This window comes from Homo sapiens, chromosome 3, assembly GCF_000001405.40.
Source record: "Homo sapiens chromosome 3, GRCh38.p14 Primary Assembly".
NCBI lineage: Eukaryota > Metazoa > Chordata > Mammalia > Primates > Hominidae > Homo > Homo sapiens.
Window position 1 is genome coordinate 103521340 of NC_000003.12, and position 19144 is coordinate 103540483.

General features: G+C 35.7%; 1 non-coding gene and 1 pseudogene across 1 annotated transcript; both read right to left on the reverse strand.

Annotated features, from left to right (window-relative positions):
• Nucleotides 1–2693: 2693 nt before the first annotated feature.
• Nucleotides 2694–2777, reverse strand: MIR548AB (microRNA 548ab). The gene has a single exon (NR_039611.1). It is a non-coding gene; the product is annotated as a microRNA 548ab (primary transcript).
• SSX2IPP1 (SSX2IP pseudogene 1) lies at nucleotides 17235–17735 on the reverse strand (annotated as a pseudogene).

The following is a 19144-nucleotide window of genomic DNA, read 5'->3' on the forward strand; positions in this document are numbered from 1 at the left end:
GAAAAAGAAATTGTTAACAGTGTAAACTGACAACATATAGAATGGGAGAAAATATTCACAAACTATGTATCTGACAAATGTCTAATATCCAGAATCAATAAAGAACTTAAACACATCAGCAAGCAAAACCCAAACAAACAATAACAACAAAACATTTTAAAACGGGCAAAGGACATGAACAGGCACTTCTCAAAAAAGACATACAAGTGACTAACACACATATGAAAAAAAAAAGTTCGCCATAAGAGAAATGTCAATCAAAACCACAATGAGATATCATCTCATACCAGTCAGAATGGCTATTGCTAAAAAGTAAAAAAAAGTAATAATAACAGATGTTGGAGAGGCTGTGGAAAAAAATGACATGCTTACACACTGTTCGTGGTGATGTAAATTAATTCAACCACTGTGGAAAACAGTTTGGAGATTTCTCAAAAATCTTAAAGCAGAACTACTATTTTACATGACAATTTCATTACTGGGTATAAACCCAAAGGAAAATAAATCGTTCTGCCTAAAAGGCATGTTATGACATGTATATGTTCATTGCAGCACTACTCACAATAGCAAAGACATTGAATCAACCTAGGCACCCATGAAAGGTTGACTGGAAAAAGAAAATATGACACATGTACACATGGAATACTACCTAGCCATAAACAAGAATGAAATCATGTCCTTCACACCAATATAGATGCAGTTGCAGGCTAGAATCCTAGGCAATTAACACAGGAACAGAAAACCAAATACTGCATTTCTCACTTATACATGGGAACCAAACACTCAGTACACATGGACATAAAGATGGAAGCAATGGACAATGGGGACTAGTGGAATAAGGAAAGAAAAATGGGGTGAGGCCTGAAAGGACTGCCTATTGGGTGTGCTCACTGGGTGTCAGTGTCATTTGTACATCAAACCTAAGCATCACACAGTGTCCTAATGTGACAGGCCTTCACATATACCCCCTGAATCTAAAATAAAAGTTGAAATTATTTTTTTAAAAAAGAAAATGTGGTATGTATACACACAAGGGACTACTATTCAGCCATGAAAAGGATGAAATGTCATTTGACACAACTTGGATGAACCTGCAGGATATTATGTTAAGTGAAATAAGCTAGGCACAGAAAGACAAACACCTCATTATCTCACCCGTATTTGGAATAAAAAATCTTCATCTCATTGAAGTTGAGAGTAGAACAGTGGTTTCTAGAGCTGAGGAGAGTGGGGTAAGGGGAGATTAGAGGAGGTTGGTCAATAGGTACAATGTTACAGTGAGATAGAAGGAATAATTTCTGGTACTCTTGCATAGTATGGTGACAATAACAATAATGCATAGTGTATTTCAAATAAGTAGAAGAGAGAATTCTGAATATTCTTACAATAAAAAGATAAATATCTATGGTGATGTGTGTGCTAATTATCATGATTTAATGATTATGTGTATATACATATTGAAACATTACATGTATACCATATAAATATGTATAATTATTATGTGACAATAAAATATATTTTCAGATAGTATCATTTCATATATTCAGGGTTAAAATATATTACTAAAATTAATTTTATTTGTTTTCTCTTACTTTTTTAAGTAACTTTTTAAAATTACATGTGTGGCTCTATTTTGGGACTCACATTGTATTTCTGTTGGATGGTAGTTCTCTACAAAACAAAAACAAATAAAAATTGTCATGAACTTCATTACCCCTTGACAGGATAGCAATGTCAGGTAGAAAGCATGGGATGAGGATAGTGCCGTCAGGTAGAAAGCATAGGATGAGGATAGCGCCGTCAGATAGAAAGCATGGGATGAGGATAGCACCGTCAGGTAGAAAGCATGGGATGAGGATAGCGCCCTCAGATAGAAAGCATGGGATGAGGATAGCACCGTCAGGTAGAAAGCATTGCTTCCAAGATGTCTTAGTGATGCAGAGAGCTAATGAGCACAGGGTCCTGGCAAAGCAACCCTGGCTTATCTAACCGTTTCCATTCTTCATATGGGGGTTAAATACTCAGGACAGGAAACAACAGAATTTTACACATTTTATCTTAATTTCTAATGCTGTGTGAGTGTAGAATTCCTTGTATAAGTATGAGAAAACAGAATGTAATTATCAGATATATGAAAACATACAGCAATTCATAAGAAGACACCATGGGAAGAACCAAATCAAATGTCCAAATGTCTTTTTATTAAATAAAATCTCTTCATTCACAAACAAGAAGATCCAATAGAACATTGTATCTATATAGCTAGAAAATGCAGACAAAGAGAAAAAAATGGACCAGGACAGAATGTGTGAAGACAAAAATATTTAAAACTAATATATCAAATATAGTGAAAGCAGAGGTGAATTTTCCAAAGAAATAATAAAGCTTAAGCTTTGGGGGCACCTCCCTAGCCAAGGCTTCTTCTGAGACTCTGGAAGATGTCTTGCAAGTTTGTATTAATGTCTTAATATTTGTTTAAAAAAAAAAGAGAGTCCTCAGTTGTGTAAACATGAGGCTCTGCAATGCCTGTATCAGACCCTGGCACAGTGAAAGGCTAATTGTAATCTGCAATCATATATCTACCTCTACCCACAGATAGTCACTGAACACCTGATTTATATCAGGTAATCTGAGGAAGAGGTGGTGAGCCAATACACTGCTGACCTAGCCCCAATGGAACATGCTTTCTATTAGGTTGGTGCAAAACTAATTGCGGGTTTTGCATTACAAATAAATACAAGTAATAGCAAAATCCACAATTACTTTTGCACCAACATAATGGATGGAAAAAACAGATTATAGACATGTTATTGTAAATAAATAAATAAATAAATAGAGATCTACAGCAAACAAAACTAGTATAAAGAATTCACCCACCCAATATATCGGCTCATTCCATTTCTAATTGCCCAGTATTTAGAATATCCAATTGGGCTTCCAAGATATAATACACAAATAAGTTAATTGATTCAATTTCTCACAGTAGACTATGTGTTAATTTGAGAAATGAACACCATGAGTGATTCTCATAGTTTATGTATGTAAATACAAGTAAACATGAGTGCACAAATACACACAAGTATACACATATATGCACACATAAAGCTTCAATTTTATTATGGGGTTTTGGATATTTCATTTATCTTCTTTGAACTTAACCATGTTTTCAATAATTTGGGTACTAAATTGGTATTATACTTTAATCAAAAGAAATATTATTAAAACCCTAAATTTTCTTCATAAAAAGTATTTTTCCTCTCAAAATGTCCTACTAGAGGAGTAGTGTGAATTTGTAAACATTGCTTGGAGTTGTATAGGTATGCAGGCAGAATTTCATAGACCATATCACAGTTACAAGCTTGCCATGATTCCACAGCCATCTTCACATGCACTATCAATTTGCCTGGCCAGTTGGAAATAATAGATATGGAAGAGAAAGAAGGGTGGTGCTCCTCCTTTTCTGCTTCTCTAATTGACTGTGAAAAATGGATTCCTGCAACAATGTTGATCAAATTTACTCTATTTGATATTATTTACCTGAAGAAGGGGACTTCTTTCAAAAACAAAGGGGAAAATCTAATGCAAAGGTAAATATATCAGCACATATATTAAATATTTTTATTTTATTTACCAAATGGAATAAAAGGAAAAAAGAGGTAGGCTAATGGCACACCGAAGAATAATTGAAAACATGTTTAATCATTTGTTTGTCCACAAAGCAAAGGACAAATGCAAATTTGATTACAAAGAGTGGTGGAAAAGGTAAACAACAGTTTGGAAATTATTTCTAGTTATTCTTCAGAATCAATGAATAAAGAAAAGAAGTATGAAAGTAATAATGAATTAAAATGTGTGTTTCCTTGTTAAAGTGAAATGATTTTGGGGTGCTGAAAGTGAACCCCATATTTCTCCCCACTTTCAGATAATTGCCTGATTTATGGCTACTGATACAATCATTGCCATATCCAGGTTTTAGAGTCAAATAGTTTATGACTCGGTACTGTGTGCTGCCAGGCTAATCTTTCCTGTTGGCAAATCTCCACATGGTTTGACTGAGGGTCACCAGGTAGCTTTCCATGCTCAAAATTTGCCTGCTTTGTAGGTGTCAAATAACCAGACATTCTATTAGGGGGAATTCTTTCCTATGGAATAAAGTATTAAATGCTAATATGAGGAAGTAGAAAAATATAAAAGCACCATCCACATTTAATACATGATTAAAACATACTGAATACTTTCCAAGTGGTTGATAACCAAGAGCAAGAACTCACTTGGAATCGGGGTTACAGCAGATAAGTTTTGATAGGCAACATGTGGAGAGACCAAGAAGTGCCTCAATGTGATGGCAAAGTTGAGATGGAAGAAACATGTCAGGGATAGGATGGGGACCTAACTGTATAAATGAGGATAATGAAAAGGGAAAGAGGTTTTATATATGGAAAATAAACTATCTATAGCTAGCAGTAGTAACTGAGATTGCTTAGTCTAATAAAAGGTGACTGGAAGTAGGTGATTGGTAGAGGTTAAAAAATAAAAGGCAGTCTGGTAGAAAATGGAGTCAACTATTTGAGAGTCCTACAAGAAAAATTCAAAATGAATATGAACAGACTATATTGAGGCAAGTAAATATCAGACTAAAACATTCAGTTAGCTTACCAGTGGCTTCTTTTTCTATCACATATATTTCCCCTTTTCCTCTAGACTTCTATATACACATAGCTGATCTCTCTGTGGGTAGAGGGAGACTTATTCTGACCCTCTTTAATTTCTCTCTGATTCAATGATGGCAATGAAAAATGAAACTTAATATCATCTTTAGAGGAGAAAATACCGAATGATATCAATTTTTATATGTCTCTTGTTAGGTCCTAGAGAAGCAGATGCTGAGACTGAGTTTTTAATGCAAAACGTTGGTAAGGGATCAACATCAGTAAGCAGAAGGGACGAAAGCAGGTTGAGTAGAGGGAGGAGTGAAAGTGCATCAAAGGCCAAACAAATAATCAGAGAACTTGGTGAGGAGCTCTGGAGCAAGGATTGTCTAAAACACTGTCGCACTACAGGCTGAAATAGATGAGATCTTTTTACCAGGGGTCACCAGAATACGGTCAGCCTGCCACATGTTTTTTATAGTCTGTGAGCTAAGACTATTTTTTTTTACATTTTTAAATAGTTAAAAAAGGCAAAAGGATATTTTCTGACATGAAAATTATATGAAATTCAAATTTAAACGTGCATAAATACAGTTTTATTGGTACATAGCCATGCTCATCCATTATGTATTATCCATGGCTGTTTATGAGCTACAACAGCAAAATCGAGTAGTTTGTGGCAGAGTCTCTACTGCTCATGTACCTTAAAACACTTGCTGTTTGCTTTTTAATGGGAAACGTTTGTAAATTCCTCCTTAGTTCTCCTGCTTTACTGGGTCACAGGTAAGGGTAACTCGGGGGAGAAAGCCCTCTGCTATTGCGTCAAACCCTGAAAAAGCTGACAACCAGAAGCTGTTTTCAGATCGCACTCCAGAGCCGGACAGCCAGCCCTTCTTTTAAAAGGTTATGCTGCCATAACCTGTCTACCATAATGCTAATTTCCACAGATCACATACTAAATGCCAGCTATTCCAACTAGCTTTTGACAAATACACTATTGTCAAATAAAATCTGTTTTGCAGTTATTCCAACGTATGACGTGATCAGAGATTTTAATGTAATAGAAAAACAAAATTTTTATTCAAGATGTCTTTCAGCAAAGAATTTCGACCCTATTGGCAATGGTTAGCATTTTAAAGACTTAAAAATCTGCTTTCCAATTATATTATTTTGAAAGAGATTTATTGAATAAGTGCAGAAGTTGTTATAAAAAATATGTGAACATGTTCATCTTCAACAAATGTTTAATTATTATACATAAGAGTGCTATAAGACTTGTCAAATATCAAGTATTGTACTGTTTTTATTGAAGAACTGGCCTTGCACATTTTCCAGAGTTCCAAAAAATGTCTAATTGCTTCAGAGTTTTCCCTCCCTGATTATTATTTCCTCTTGTTCCCTTAGTTACTTTCATGGGTTCTATTTCAAAGCTTTTTCCTATAATAGATTGTGCTTTTGTCATTATTCTCTCTGAGAAATCAGATTTGGCTCTCCCATTTTTACCCCTAATTAAAATTTTTGGTCTAATTGCAGTATATTTCATTAGTTCTTACAGAACACATGAGCTTGAACGAGGGTTTTCACTATTGGTTTAATGTTGAATAATATGCAGGCATCTAATAAGCACTGTCCATATTAAGACTATTTTGTCAAAGTTCTCCTTAGCCCATTTGCACATTGGCCAGGAAGACTGCATCAAATTCCAAGGAAGAGTTTGGATTTCAGGTCCCAAGATCTAAAGAGTTAATTCTAAAAGTTAATTTTCATTGGATTAAAAACAATCAAGAATGGCAAGATAATTAGGTTATTTAAATGCAAGTCTGACAAAGAGGGAGGTAAGAAGTATTGAAAGGATTAAAAAATTATCTGATAACTAAAACAATAAAGTCGTATTATTAATTTGTCTTTTGAAATTAGCACTTTTAATTCAACAATATAATGTGGAAATTTGAGAAGAAATAGTTTGCAATTGTGTTTACTTTACAATTGGCCAATGTTTCTCACTGTTCCTCATTCTCAATCTGTATTTTCTTCTTCTTTTCAGAGGTAATTTTTACATAAACTTCATGTACAATTAGGCATGGAGAGTAGCTTTATTACCTAAAGAACATGCTCCCTGATAGAAGAGAATCAGCCAAGTCAAATAACAGAAAGACTCTACAATGTTAATGAGATTAACAATGACCCATTGGGAGATATACCTAATGCTAGATGACGAGTTAGTGGGTGCAGCGCACCAGCATGGCACATGTATACATATGTAACTAACCTGCACAATGTGCACATGTACCCTAAAACTTAAAGTATAATAATAAAAGAAAAAAAAAACAATTAAACTGTCTCAACCTAGAATTTAAATGACAGCAAAAACAACATAGTTCTGAATAGCCAAGCAAGTTATTCAATATCCTTATTTAAAAAAAAAAATAGAGAATCTAGTTAACTGGGGGAAGAGTATGTTTTTTAAAAAGTAAGATTCTTTTGAATAAACCGATTGTAATTTAAAAAAAAAAATGACCCAGTTTTTGGATTACACATATTCTATTTGTTGATTCACCTGATACTATTTTTTTTTTTCATTTAATGACAATGTTAAGTGCCATGTGCATGTTTGAGAGAAGAGCTTTTCAAGAAAGAACAACTACTGCAAATTTCCTGAGGTAGGACTACGAGTATCCTAGGGAAAGCAAAGGGACATTGTGGATGGAACTCAGTAAGTGATGGAACTCACAGTAGGACATTGAATAGGACATGAGAATGATTCGTCAGAGAGTCAATGGATTAATTCATGCACAGCTATAGGTGATTGTAAGGATTGTTAAAGACTGCTAAGGGTTAAGGTTTGACTTAATTTACAAACTAATAAGTGAGCCTGCCTCAGTTTCAGAGGTGTTGAGAGAAGCAATGAGACTTCTGCATAAGAGAAAATGGACTTTATTACTCACAGAAAGGCAGGCAGTATGCACTTCATGTTCATACCTGTGTCTTACGCTTCCTAAGTCCCACAGAAGCAATATCAAGTGGCCCAGATGGACACTGCAAACACAGTAGCATAGTAGCTACAGATGAGAAATCCTGAACTTACAAAACTTCTTTCTTAGAGTTCTCCAGAGAAACAGAACCAATAGGATATATACACACATGTATGTATATATCCTATTGGTTCATATATACATAATTTTACAGATATGGTTTTTACATATATATTATGATGTTATATATTTATGATTTTTACATATATTTATGATTATATGTGTATAATATAATCTGTTTATGTGTATATATATATATGTACAGAGAAGACAGAGAGGATTTATTATAATCATGTAGGATTTATTGTGAACACAGAGGCTAAGAAGGTTCATAATCTGCTGTCAACAAGCTGGAGACCTAGGAAAGCTGGTGTCGTAGATCAGACTGAGTCCAAAGACCTGAAAGCCAGATGACAGACAGTCATAAGCTGAGAGCTGGAGAAGACTGATGTCCCAGCTCATAAGTTAGGCAGATAGCAAATTCTTCCTTCCTCCCCCTTTTTGTTCTATTCGGGCCCTCAACAGATTCAATGATGCCCACCCACATTGAGGAGGGTAGTCTGCTTTACTCAGTCAACCTATTCAAATGCTAATCTCATCTCAGAAATAAGGTTTAGCCAATATCTGGGCACTCCATGGTCCAACAAAATTGAAACATAAGGTTAACCATCAAAACTTCCAATCATATGAGGGGGCAGCTAGCAAACTGTGCCAACTTTTACCCTGAAAGGAAACAGTATCTTTTATTGTCCTGTTTCAGAAACAAATATTTCCTCTGCCCTAGAGGAAGACACTATCTCTATCATCCAAGGATGCTTATTATGCAAACAAGAGATCCATGGACAACTGTTTCACAAAAAGGATTTTAGCATTTACTGTGGGTAAAATGAATAGCCGTTGCAAGCATTTTCTTTAAAAAAAAGAGTGACATGGTGTGATTTTCATTTTAGAAGATTTACTCTGGCTACTGTGTTAAGAATATACCCATGAGAATCAATGGTAAAAGCTGTGAGATCAATAAGGGCAAAAGATGATAGCACATTGACCAGATGGTAAAAGCAGCAATAGTAAGAAGTACTTTGATTGAGTATATAGTTTGAAATTAAATCCCATAGGATTTATTGATGGATTGGTCATGGGGTATAAGAAAAATAATGGAGCAAAATTTGAAGTTCCTACTAAACCAGATTGGGAGGATTTTAGGTGAAGAGGATTTGCAAGGGAGTGAAATAATTTCAGTTTAAGTCACATAGAGTTTGAGATGTGTATTAGATATCCAAGTGAGATATTAGGTAGAGAGATGAATATGTTAATCTGGAATTTGGAAAAGAGATCTAGGTTGGACACACACGCACACACGCACACACGCGCACACACGCACACACGCACACACACACACACACACACACACACACTATTCTGCTTATCTACCTCCTGTCTGCTCTGCTGCTCTCATTTTATTGCTTGATAATCAGTTCTCATGGCTCTTAATCTACCACTTCTCTAAGTGTGTTCTTTGTGCTTCCTCCTAGAGTAGCCCCTCTTCAGATTATTACCTTTACACTTAAAGGACAATTATTTATTTTTCTCATTGATCCTCACAAGTTTGAGCTCTCTCGAGTACAATTCATATTAATCAAGCTCATCTGCTTCATTCCAGACTGGGCTGGTGGAAAGCTGGAAAATAGATCACTTTCCCAGGCCCAGATTTTAGGTAATGGGATATAATTATCTTAAACTCAACATGTTGGCATTTAGCTTCATTTCACTCCTGTTGCTCCTCTGTTCCTGGGATTTTTGATTGGTATAAGTGAATTCTGTTCCTCTGGGATTTTTGATTGGTATATAAGTGTATTTCTGATTAAGTTCCTAGTAGCCATCTTGAACTCCTATTTTTTTTTTTTTTTTTAATTGATCATTCTTGGGTGTTTCTCACAGAGGGGGATTTGGCAGGGTCATAGGACAATAGTGGAGGGAAGGTCAGCAGATAAACAAGTGAACAAAGGTCTCTGGTTTTCCTAGGCAGAGGACCCTGCGGCCTTCCGCAGTTTTTGTGTCCCTGGGTACTTGAGATTAGGGAGTAGTGATGACTCTTAACGAGCATGCTGCCTTCAAGCATCTGTTCAACAAAGCACATCTTGCACCGCCCTTAATCCATTTAACCCTGAGTGGACACAGCACATGTTTCAGAGAGCACAGGGTTGGGGGTAAGGTCACAGATCAACAGGATCCCAAGGCGGAAGAATTTTTCTTAGTACAGAACAAAATGAAAAGTCTCCCATGTCTACTTCTTTCTACACAGACACGGCAACCATCCGATTTCTCAATCTTTTCCCCACCTTTCCCCGCTTTCTATTCCACAAAACCGCCACTGTCATCATGGCCCGTTCTCAATGAGCCGCTGGGCACACCTCCCAGACCGAGTGGTGGCTGGGCAGAGGGGCTCCTCACCTCCCAGCAGGGGCGGCTGGGCAGAGGCGCCCTTCACCTCCCAGACGGGGCGGCTGGCCGAGCAGGGGGCCGACCCCCCCACCTCCCTGCCAGACGGGGCAGCTGGCCGGGCAGAGGGGCTCCTCACTTCCCAGTAGGGGTGGCCGGGCAGAGGCGCCCCTCACCTCCCGGACTCCTATTTTATAACCAACTTCTTCATGTCCTTTCCTATTTTTTGTTTGTTTGTTTTGTTTTTTGAGACGGAGTCTCGCTCTGTCACCAGGCTGGAATGCAGTGGCGCAATCTCGGCTCACTGCAAGCTCCGCCTCCCGGGTTCACTCCATTCTCCTGCCTCAGCCTCCCCAGTAGCTGGAACTACAGGCGCCTGCTGCCACGCCCGGCTAATTTTTTGTATCTTTTAATAGAGACGGGGTTTCACCGTGTTAGCCAGGATGGTCTCGATCTCCTCACCTTGTGATCCGCCCGCCTCGGCCTCCCAAAGTGCTAGGATTACAGGCGTGAGCCACCGCACCCGGTCCTGTCCTTTCCTTTTTTTACCTTAGATTCTGATTTAATTTTTAGGGTTTTGTTAGTTTCCTCAGGAGCTACATTCTGATGCTGAACCTGAGCCCAGTTGATGGGACAATGCTATCTATTTAAAAATTTCATAATTGTTTATCCTACCTAAAATGTTTTCAATTATTATTTAATATTAATGTATGCAAACTACTCATGTCTCAGTTACCAACATAATTTGCTATTGGAATTCAATTCTCTAGATTTCCTGTTGACTTTTAGTACTAATTGTTTTCTAGTACTATTATCTGTCATCTAGAACATGCTGTCTACTTGTCTGAACTGCCTTACAAAACTTTGAGGTAGACCTGTACCTCTAGTACCATCCCATCCCTGTGGTGGAGAATAAAAAGGAAATTGAAATTTAGATTCTTCTCTTCTCAAATAGTTGTTTGGGGATAAAATGATAAAGAAGATACGTATTAGTTTTATCATCCCAGGGCTTAATTTTTTTTTTACAACAATGCAACTAGACAAATAAATCAATACATTTATTGAATATAATTGTTACCCATACTAAGAATTAGATTGAGACTGTGATGAAAGCTTATGACAGAGATTTCTTACGTAGGGATATTGAGGCTGAGATGAGTGAGGGATAGTTTCTAGCAACTGTCAATATAACTTGAAACAAGGAGAAACAGAAGGTGGCAAAATAAAAAGTAGGGGAATGATTCCAGATTTCCAAGTTGAGTAAGTAACTTTATGAACACTATACAATACGGATGACTAAGACAAATGGAAGAAGCCAATTATAGTGGAGAAGAAAAAAAACATAAAGAGTGCTGGAGAGAGTTACATGAGATAAGCTAAACCTAAGTGGTAAGTAGGGGACCCAAATATACAGGGCTTTGGAGTCCAGGATAAAAATTTTGAACATTATTGGGAAGTCCTAAATAATTTTAAACATGTCATAATCAGGATTGCACTTGTAAAATTAATCTGGTTATATCAATAGAGATTAGATTAGGGATTTTTTAAAAATCTCCTCAAAAATAGTGGATTTTGCAGAGAATCAAAAGAAAAAATGTGAGTTGCACTTCTATTATGGTACTGGCTTTTGGGAGAAAAGTAATGACTCAGTAATTACAATAAATAGTATGTGGCCACGCATGGTGGCTCACACCTATAATCCCAGCACTTTTGGAGGCCGACACGGGTGGATGGCTTGAGCCCAGGAGTTCCAGACCAGCCTGGGCAACATGCGGGGAAACCCAGTCTCCACAAAAATTGCAAAATTAGTTTAGTCAGGCTTGATAGTGTGCACTTAGCCTGGGAGGCAATATGAGACCTTGCCACAAAAAAAAAAAAAAAAAAAAAAAAAAAAAAACAGAGGAAGAAGAAGGAAAAAAAAAGGAATAGCGTAACTGATTAATGGGATATATTAGGTGAGGAAAAGCTAAATGTCAGATTTCTTCTTTGACTTCTAAAAAGTTGTCCCTCACATTTACTAAGGAAACAGTAGAGGAGGATAAGATTAGAATAAGAAAGATAATTTACTCGTGGATGTATTGAAATTCATGTGAATGTCTCAACTTGAAATTCACTTCTGAGATTCTCTAATATCCAGATATAAATGAAGATTAAATAAAAATGGCTATACACTTTTTTTAGGAGAAAAACATTTGTTTATTGCTAGACTTAACAATCACATTGCCATCATTTATATTGAAACATTCATCAATCTCCTATTCTTTTATTCTAAAACAGTTATTATTAATAACCTATTCATTTACTCTAAAGCACTTATCAATTTAGCTATCATGTTTAATTCATAGCAATAATACTATGTTATAAGACATTTTACTAAAATATTAGACTACTTACCTGCCCATTTTTTGATAAACTTTCTATTTTGAAATAATTTTATATTTTGCAAAGATAGTTGCAAAAGATAGTACAGAGTTCTGTTATACTATTTTATTATACAATTTCTATTCATAGAACTTATCATTATTATAGGCATATTTTTATTTGCACAATTTTATTGATTCAGTGTGTTTTTTCCATTAAAGTATGAAGGCAACAGTCATACTGTCTTGCTCACCACTTTATACCTAAAAAATAGCAAGTATGCAATAAATATGTATTGAATTAACAAAAAGCTAAAAATATAAAGTTGTAAGCCATTTGCTTATAGATAATATTTGAGACCTTGGAATATATGAAATGATTGTGAATGCCGAATATCTGAGACAGCTTTCAGTTAATTTAGAAAGTTTATTTTGCCAACGTTGAGGATGTACCCGTGACACAGCCTCAGGAGGTCCTGATGACATGTGCCGAAGGTTGTCGGGGCAAGCATAGCTTGGTTTTATACATTTAGGGAGACAGGAAACATCAATCAATATATATATGAGATGTCCATTGATCATGTCCAGAAAGGCGGGGTAACTCAAGCAGGGAGAGGGCTTCCAATTCATAGATAGATGAGAAAAAAGCAGTTGCATTCTTTTGAGTTTCCGATTAGCTTTTTGAAAGGAGGCAGTCAGATATGCATTTATCTCCGTGAACAGAGGGATGACTTTGAATAGAATGGGAGGCAGCTTGGCACTAAGCAGTTCCCAGCTTGGCTTTTCCCTTCAGCTTAGTGATTTGGGGAGCCCCAAGACTTAATTTCCTGTCACATGACTTAAAAAGGATATTAACGATATAAGCACAGGTAAAAGAATATAAGCCACAAATAAAAATAAAAATTACAGAAGGATCTGCCAGAGCAGGAAGGAAATAAGAAGCCTCTGTATCCTAAAAATAAAGTGTTTTAAGAAGTAAATATTTGTGCTAAGCAATGCAGAGACTTAAAAGTCATGGAGGAATTTCTATATTACTGAGAGATATATTGATGTGAAAGTCACTGTTTGTTTGTTTGTTGTTTGTTTGTTTTGTGAGACCTGATATGGCAAAGTGATGGAGACAGAAGGCTAATTGTCGTGGGTTCAGAGTTGAGTAGGAGGTGAGGAAATGGTTGCAGAGGTGATTATGCTTTACAGTATGTGGTTATAAAGGAGAGGAGGGAGGTAAGGAAGCTACTCAAGGGGATGACTGATTAAGAGCTTCTTCTACAGTTTGCCTGTACCTATTAAGATGACTTTTTACCTGTTAAAATACATTTTATTTCACACTCTCCAGCTAGTGCATTTGAACAAGTTTCTAGCATCTGATCTTGAGTGAACAGAACCTTGATTATGACTCACAGGGCCACCTGTCAATCCTTAAGAACTTAATGGTTACATTGTGTAGAATTTCCCATAAAAACGTGTTATGCTTCAACATTTTCCTAGAAAGCACAAATAATTAAATAAATAAAAATACTTCACTTTGTTACTAGTAATGAGGCAGGAGAACAGGGTCTGAAGGCAGGGAACGTAAGTCTTACTCTTGCTGACTTTCTAGAACTAAATCAAATGGAAACACTTCAACTATGACAGAAAACATCCTCTCCAGTTACCTAGGGCTCACACAGAGTAAATGACTTTGCAACTTTACTTCATCCTCATTTATTAAGATGTAGACCAAGTAAACAAAGGAAACCACTAGAGGGTATTTAAACCTCAGAAAATTCTGTAACAGGCTCTTGAGCCCCTATGCTCAGACTCGCTCCCACCCTGTGGAGTGTACCTTCATTTTCAGTAAAACTCTGCTTCTGTTGCTTCCTTCTTCCCTTGCTTTGTTTGTGCATTTTGTCCAGTTCTTTGTCCAAGATGCCAAGAACCTGGACACCTTCAACAAGTAACAGATACGAATTTAAACTTGCCTTGAGAAAGTTATTTCTGTAACTCTAACATCGATAAGGGTATTTTAGAGCAAGGCAACGTCCCAAAACATTGTTCCCTATGCTCTGAGAAGATGTAGAATTAACCAACTTTTTGTTTTAAAGACACCTAAAATATCTGAAATCAAGTTGTTATTTATCAAGGAAATTGTGTTACTTTGCAATGGTGTCTTCTTAAAAGAGAAGGCTAAAATAATCTAATTATTTTCCATTAATGAAATGGAGACGTTTCAGATTAGCCTTTGAAGAAGAATGTTATGTGAACAGCAACACACACACACATACACACACACACAGAGACACACACAATCTCATCAGGAATTTCAGTAGTAAAATCACTTCTAAATCAGATTAACCCTAAATTAGAGGGTCCCATGTTTTTCCAGGATAGATCTAGAGTGAACATTTTGTTTTTGACAGAACACAGCATGCTTCCTGAGATCCTAGAGGATTAGAAAGAAATCTCTTGAAAAATGTATTCACTCATTGTAATATGTAATGATCCTCACCTTATACTCAACTGGGTAACAACTTTGTTGTTGATGTATAGCTGACTACATGCATTATTGTCTAAATTGGGCACATTGACAATCAAAAGGAATTACATTAATTATTATGGCAAGAAAACAGGGGTAAACTGAGATTTTTCCAGGCAACCATTTTAAGTATAGTCACATAAATTATTTATGTACTCCTATTTTCTCTCCTAATAAGTGAACAATAGCAAGCTAAGATAACCTCCCTCAGCCCTGGTTTGACAGTTTGTAATATATGCACACTTCCTAGAGTAGTCATGATGATAAAACCTGAAATTTATTAAATAACTTTGAGAATACTAAAAACTCTCTGTATTTGGATTTATATTTGTATATGTATATGTGTTTTTGTATCTAAACTGCATATTTTTATTATTTAAATTGTAAATACTAAGAGGGCAGTAATTTGTCTTACTCAGCACTGATACTGTGTAATATTTAGTCATTCATTTTTAGATTACTGACAATTTTCTATCACTTTTCTTCTAAATTCTTCAATGTGATCAGGCATAACTTTATCATTGAAATGAAAACTAACTGAATTTTTTTATGACTTGCAGTGTCTGAAAACTGGCAGTTATTTTTTTTTGGAAAAAACATAGAAATGAAAATAGGAAGAAAGAAAAAAGAAGGAATATGAAATAGAACAAAAAAAGTCTTAAGAGAATGTTGATCTATTGCTCACTATACAAACTGCTAATTTTTGATGAGATATTTGAGAAACACGTTTATTCATTGTTAGGTGTTCAATACCACAAATGTGAACAATGTTAGACATTTTAAAATGAAAAAGATATAATTTTGGCTCCAGATAATGATCCAGGGTATAATTTTTCCACAAGTTTCTTGAAGAGGGCAATATGTTTCATGATGAAAGGGTTCCATTGTCAAGTAAATTTGAAAAACCTTAATTAAGCAAATGTAAAGAGGTTAAAATTTATTTATTATTTTTGTTTGACTTTCTCCTATATGATTTCTCAAAAACTTTAATGTTTAATGCATGTTGTTAATTTCCAGAGGGAAAGGAAATACGAGTCATTTTTCAAACTGAGTTAACTACAGAACACATTTTAAAGAATTCTCATTTAATGACTTGCAGTGCCTTCAGGAGTTCTCACTGTGGCCACACAAATCATTTGCCCATACTTTGAAACTATGGCTGGGTAGAGGAAACCTGAATCATTTAAATTCTGTTTTCTCGATATATAGAAAGTTTAACTCCTTCAACTTCTTATTCTAACTTATGAAAATATTCAGTTTTATTACTCCTTACCTTTAAATTGTGACTAAAAATATCCAATCACAATCTATTAAAACATCCAATCACAACCTATATTTATTTCCATGACACCCAAACATTAGGAATAGTACTCAACATATTGGCTATATGTGTCAGCTTCTAAATAAAGCAAGAATATATATTTTCTTTTGCAAAGCTTGCAAGTCATCATAGGTTTAAATCTCAGAATATGAAACGCCCAAATAAAGAAGCTCTTCAGAGGGATAATTTATTTATGTCTTAGATTTTTATTGCTTGGCATTTTCCTATTTTTTTATGCTCTCTCTTATCCTGGAAGAAAGCAAAAGCATGACTAGGTGAGATTATGTGTTAGCACTCTACAAAATCTCTGGCCTTGCTTTGCAAAATGTCTTCAGTATTGAAAGAGGAAAGACACATTTTTCACTGGTAATTATTTAGTAAATAAAGTATTCTCTGTCTGGTATAGACTCTATGATGCAATTTTAAATTGCTCTGTTTGGGCAATTAATCAAAATATACAGGGGTGCTAAAATATTAATATTTTGGCTATTCCAAGATTATTTTCTTCATGAAGGAGTCTAGCATGCCACAGAGAGTTCTGCTTCTTGGGCCACAAGACTGTCCGTTAGTCCTCAAACCCTCAGTACCATGGGCTGCAAGAATGGATCAAGTTCTGCTGAGGTAAAGTTTTTTGCAAACATGGTTTTTCACAAGAAATTTAAATTGTTAGTTACTCTGTAGATATGTTCAAATCTTCTCTGCTGCCACTTTGGCATAACTGATCTTCCTGCCTCTGAATGTCCTCCCCTCAAAGCCAATATACTGCTAAGTTATAAGCAAAGACCTGACCATGTAACCCTCCCCCTTAGCTCTGGTGCCTTCTCATTACCTACAGAGTAATTATATATCAAGGCTCGGCTTATATTAATAACTTTACACAGCTTTTTTTTTTTTTTTGTATTAGTAGATATAATTGACTTCAACTTAGAAGTGAAATGTGGTGAATAGGTTAATGAAAAGAAATTCCAGTCCCCATGTCTAAGGTAAGTCATCTTTTTCTCCATGAGAAATTGTGTGGGTCAGGGAGCATGTAATATGGTAATCTTCCTATGATGCAGGTCTTGCTGTCATGCTTCATTTCTCGTTTGTAGATTCTCTTTCAACATGATTTGGTTCAATTTATTCAGGAGTTATATTCAGTACGTTTATTGAAGTATGTTCAGATACACAGGAATGCATCTGAAAAGAAATCTTCAGTAGAAGGTGAAGCAAGAAGACATTCAGTAAGTTTAGACATGCAAACTGGAGACCATTATGCACACTCTGAGGTTTCCTTTCCATTGCCTGGAGTGCGCCGTAAGATTGTCCTGATCAGAACTTCCTCAGAAGACACTGAAAAGTTTAACATTTTTTGAGTTCTGGTGGTCAATGGTAGTCATATCTAAAAGCTGTTGCTTTAATCAACTGGCTCTTTTTTTTCTTTTCTTTTTTTTTTTTTTTTTTTTTTTTTGCAAACATGTTTCTCTCCAAACCTAGGTGAATAGCTGCTTCTGTAAAGCTTCGTCTTTCTCTCTGAAAATTATTTTTTTGCTCCTTGCTCTTTAAAAAGGGGCCATTTTTTGTGGCATCCTTTTTCTTCCAAATAACAGTCTTATAATAGTGCAGTGGTATCATCATCACAAGCAGTAGTGAGGTGTTGCTGTAAAAGTTGCTGCTGAGTTTTAATCATTTCTTTACATTTCTGAATTTCTAATTTGAGTTTTTCAGCTTCTTGTTCATGGTCTTGTTTTGAGATTAAATCTTCATCATTAAATTTTCTAAGTGTACCTTTGAAACGTGGCTACCAAGTTTTTCTCCATGACTTTTCAAAATTCCCCACTGTTTTCTGATGCTGTTTGTAGGCTGTTCTCTCACAGTTTCACAGGAAAGTTCCCAGATACTGTCTCTGCTCATTTCCCCAGCATCTTCTTCAACATCTGAGATAACAGTTCCTGTACTACCATCTTCTCTTTCTCTAGGTTTCTTTTGAGGAGAAAGAAGAAAAAACATATCCTTTTCCATTTGGTGAAGAAACTTCTTCATTATCAGCATTTTCCATTAGGAATTGTTTGTGACAATACTCATAATCATTCAAGATAATTTTATACATTTCATCAAATTCCTGACTTCTGTCTTACCAGTTTTCCAGAGGCCTCTTTTTCCATCAGCTCTCCCCACATTATTTAAAATGTCTAAAGCTATTTTTAATTCTTTTTGGTTCATAAAAGGTTGATGTAGACTTTCCTTCAGTTTGTTATATTCACACTCTTTTCATATCATATCATGATAATACTGAATAGCTCAACTTACAATAATATTTCGTAATTTCTGTACCTTATCCTTCTCATTTTTCAATAGCTGATTCAAATTCCTGTTCTTGCATTGTAACTGTCTCTTTCCTGAAGCTCAATCATTTCCCTCTTGGAGGTTTCCAGTTTCTTAAGTTTCATTTAGCAGTTCTGTAGATGGTCCATGTCACCTCCCAGTTCCAGGTTCTGTGTTTCCTGAGCTACAAGATCCTTCTACTGAAGTAGTAGTAGCTCATTCATATAATTTAAAAGAGCTGCCATATTTAATTATTTCTATCTCTTTACCTTTGGATCCTTCACATAACTGAGGAAAGCCAAAAGTAGTCAATTCTGGATCAAGACATAAATACTCTGTTAAATATTATCATTTATGCAGAAGGCACCAACAAAAAATGTGCACATTTTTAAATAAAACTATTGAGGAACATGACACTTGCTATAAGTATAAACTTGGTGGTGATATCTTTGCTTCTGAGCTATACTTAGAGATAGTTTTGCTTTGTGAAGACAGACCTGGGTTTGTAACAGCCATCCAGTCTC